Source organism: Homo sapiens, chromosome 2 (genome assembly GCF_000001405.40).
Source record: "Homo sapiens chromosome 2, GRCh38.p14 Primary Assembly".
Classification (NCBI taxonomy): domain Eukaryota; kingdom Metazoa; phylum Chordata; class Mammalia; order Primates; family Hominidae; genus Homo; species Homo sapiens.
In genome coordinates this window covers 129,186,286-129,190,007 of record NC_000002.12, presented here as the reverse complement: position 1 = coordinate 129,190,007, position 3,722 = coordinate 129,186,286, and the positions used below count along the sequence as shown (strand labels likewise).

General features: G+C 47.0%; 1 annotated feature.

The window, feature by feature from the left end:
• Window positions 2,252–2,784: an enhancer, noted in NCBI's record as "OCT4-NANOG hESC enhancer chr2:129944797-129945329 (GRCh37/hg19 assembly coordinates)". NCBI's record gives its function as "activates a minimal SCP1, AML or CMV promoter by ChIP-STARR-seq in naive and primed H9 embryonic stem cells {active_cell/tissue: H9 hESC(naive and primed)}" and the evidence as "EXISTENCE:reporter gene assay evidence [ECO:0000049][PMID:30033119]".

The following is a 3,722-nucleotide window of genomic DNA, read 5'->3' as shown; positions in this document are numbered from 1 at the left end:
TACGCTGCATTTTCTCTCTCTGTCTTTATCTCTTTGTTCTATTCATAAGCTCAAGTCACACCATTTTAAACTAGATGCTTGGGCCCACCACCCCCTGCACCCTCTGTCCCCCTGCCTCACACTGTCCTCAACTCACTCTCTCCTGCTACACTCAGGCCACCCTAAAGCTGTCTGTGCTCAGCATTCCTGTCTCATCGCCTCTGGGCGGCTCCTTGAGCCCCCGGAGCCCTTCACTCGCCCTTCCTGCCACAGTCTTCCCTGACCTCTTTTTTGCCTAGTACAGTGGATCTTTCAGACACCAGTCACCTTCCTATTTTTTGAAAGCGAGTGTGGCTGAACTTCCTGCTTGAAGCCTTGGTTGTCTGGGCTCCACTGCGTCACGGTCTTTGCTTTACCTTTTCTCTGGCCCGTCTTTCATCTCCTCTCATGGCTTTCATCTCCTCTGCCTGTCTCTTAAATGCTCACTCTCTTGGGGATTTCATTTCCACCCTTCTTCCCTTCTCCTTCACCCTGGGTGACTTAATTCACTCTCAGAGCTCCAACTAAAGAACTGTTCGGAGTGTGGACAATTCTTTGGTCAATATTTCCAGTCTTTACCTCTGATGTGGCCCAGGGCCTTGCTATCAGAGTCCAGACTGATGTGTCAGCTCCCTAGGAAATGGGTTCTACTGAGCACCATCATCCTCCTTCCCTGGGTTCTTCACTGCATGAGTGGCACAGCCATCTGAGTAGGCTTATGAGGCTTGGGCTAGGGATGCATGGATGGGCTATGATTCTCTATGAGATAGTATAAGTCAAGAATGATCTCGACCACATGTAGAGAAATGTTACAGAGGGACGAAAATGAGTAAAGCCAGAACGCTGGCTTCAAGGTGCCTGTGAACAGAGGGAGACAGAGCAGGGAGGGGGCAACGAAAAGAGCTGGGGGAGAACTGGGACCCTGGGGCTGGGGAAAGAGGGGATTTCAAGAGGCAACATCTGGGTACTGCCTGGGGCTGCCCTAGAGTTGGAGGCAGGCCCAGGTGCCGAGAGTTCTTTGCCCCACTTTGCTTTATCTGGAGAGAGTCATGTTTCAGGCTCAGCCAGGGAGAAAGTCAATTCCACATGGGTGGAAGGCAGTGGCACCATCACAAGTTGAATGTTAATTTTATATCTCACCTTAGAACAGCGCAGATCTCCAGAAAGTATCTCACAATCCTAGAAACTGACCGCCGCCCACCTGTGAGTGACCTCCCCCAGGGCTGAGGGAGCTGAGCTGAGTCTCATCTCACTGGCAGACACACGGCATGCTACCTGAAGTGGGACAAATGCATTCCCGACACTTGGCTTAGATGCCCAGGACTTGTGCATGTGGCAAAACTGGGCAGATGCCCCTCTGCTGAGCAGGCCCTGCCTCTCCCATGACACAAAGAATGAGTCCGATTCTTCTCATTGCTCACTCACCCTGCCCCAGCCAGCCCACCATTGATACCTCTCTCATTACTTACTCTGAGATCGCCGTCTCCATTCACCAAGAAGACTCAGAGGATGGCAGGGCCAGTCATGGCTCCTCGCTTTTTGGGGGAAGTATATTCAATAGAAATGTGTTGGCTGATTGCAGACCAGGAGATCCTGATGTCCCTGCACGCTGGGCAAGCAGCTGCTCATTTCCTCCATTGTTTCAGAAGACCTGCCCATGAGGCTTGGAAAAGATTTTCTCAATCACAAGGGACCAGAGCCACAGAGGACCATTTCATGACATCCTGACAACTGGGCCAGGATCCTTGACTTACAGACGAAGAAGGGATCTTGAGAGTATCCAGATGAAACAAAAGAAGGGATGAGCAGACCACACAACCTGGCTGTTGAACTGGCTAGATCACCTCTAGTTTAAGGATTGATAAATTACAAAACAATGCAGTTCCTAAGATGGCAAAACAAGGGATATGGGGGGAATAGAAACTGGTACTTTTAGAAAAATGTTCAGCTTTTCTTTTCTTTTTTGTTTTGTGTTTTTTTGTTGTTTGTTTGTTTGTTTGAGACAGAGTCTCACTCTGTCACCCAGGCTGGAGTGTGATGGCGCGATTTCGGCTCACTGCAACCTCTGCCTCCCAGGTTCAAGCAATTCTCGTGCCTCAGCCTCCCTAGCAACTGGGACTACAGGTGCATGCCACCATGCCCAGCTAAGTTTTGTATTTTTAGTAGAGACAGGGTTTCATCATGTTGGCCAGGCTGGTCTCAAATTCCTAGCCTCAAGTGATCCACCTGCCTTGGCCTCCCAAAGTGCTGAGATTACAGGCATGAGCCACCTCACCCTGCCTGTTCAGCTTTTCAGTAGGCTGAATGAAAGGAGATTCTGTGGATCTGAACAAAATATTCCAAAGAGAGAACAGGCTGACCTTTTTAAAACAACAGGATGAGATAAGAGGGAAGACCGGGGAAATCCTTAAGAGCACCAAGCAATGGACACATGTTATCAAAGAACCTACATTAGAGGGAGCGTAAAGCAATCATCACACTGGGGAAAACTGTTTGATGTGGAAAACAAGCCAGCTTGGCTCTTTCACAAGGAAGAGTTAAAAGACAAATGCAGAGAGATGACTGGGGACAGATGAGAACCCTGCAGGACAAAGGGTAGGGCGCTGACCCAGCAGTCAGAGGTCCTCCCAGGACTAATCCAGATAACTAAAGCAACGTCAGTTTTCTAAAATGACAAAAGGTTGAGCATGCAAATCAGAAAGAGTATTTTAATTCTAGGCCCTGAATACATTCTGACAACCACTTGTGTTAAAGATTTTTAGCGGGGAAAATCCCTTTAGTAACTCACGCAGAAATGGAAAAACAGATGACCTCCAGAGGAACAAGACTGAGGCTGGCCCATCCCTTTCTGCACAACAAAGGCTGGAAGAGAAGACAGCACAGGCCATGGGGTCCTGCGCTGGTGCCAGGAGCCCCAGGTCCCAGCCTTAGGTCCTAGTCTGGTGTGCTTTCTTTTGAAAGGGCATTCTCAGATATGCGGGAGTTCAAAATTACACCACCTAGATAAGTTCAAGACTGGAATTTGGAATTGTCTTTGGGTAAATGTTGAAAAGCACAAGAATCATAGCAAAAAAAAAAATGAATTTGCATTTCTGCTTCCACTGTTCTGCAGCACTGGCCAACTAGTAAACAGGAAACATATATGAAAAAGTGTTTTCAGTCACTGAAGACACAACACAAAAATATGATCAAGAAGAAAAAGAAAAAGTGGATGACCTCTACGATTTGCTCTAGTTTTCTGCATGAAGATACTTTCCAGACAATAAGCACCACAGCGAGGGCACGACAGGCAAAACTGCAGTTTCACTGTATTGACGATACAAGAAATGGAACTGGAAGGTGGAGGTGGCTGAAAATCACAGGGCAAAGTAATGGATAAGATGGCATAAAAAGAACTCTGTAAAAATAAATGGAGTCTCTCTGAGTTTTTTGCTGAGTACTAAGCTACACCTGAGTTGCATAAAATACCATAAGCCATTAAAAAACACTACTGGGTTGATAAAGGCTGAAAAGTTCCTAGATCTTACCTCCCGCTTGGAGAAATTTGAGTTCCAAACAGTCCAATTGCAGATACTTTGTAAAACACTCAGGACATTCTGTCAAAACCAGAAGGACCACATCTTAGTAGTAATAATAACTACACCTATAGCACAGACTGCTCTAAACCTGATCCGACAAGATTTTAAAACATGCCTCAAAAGAAA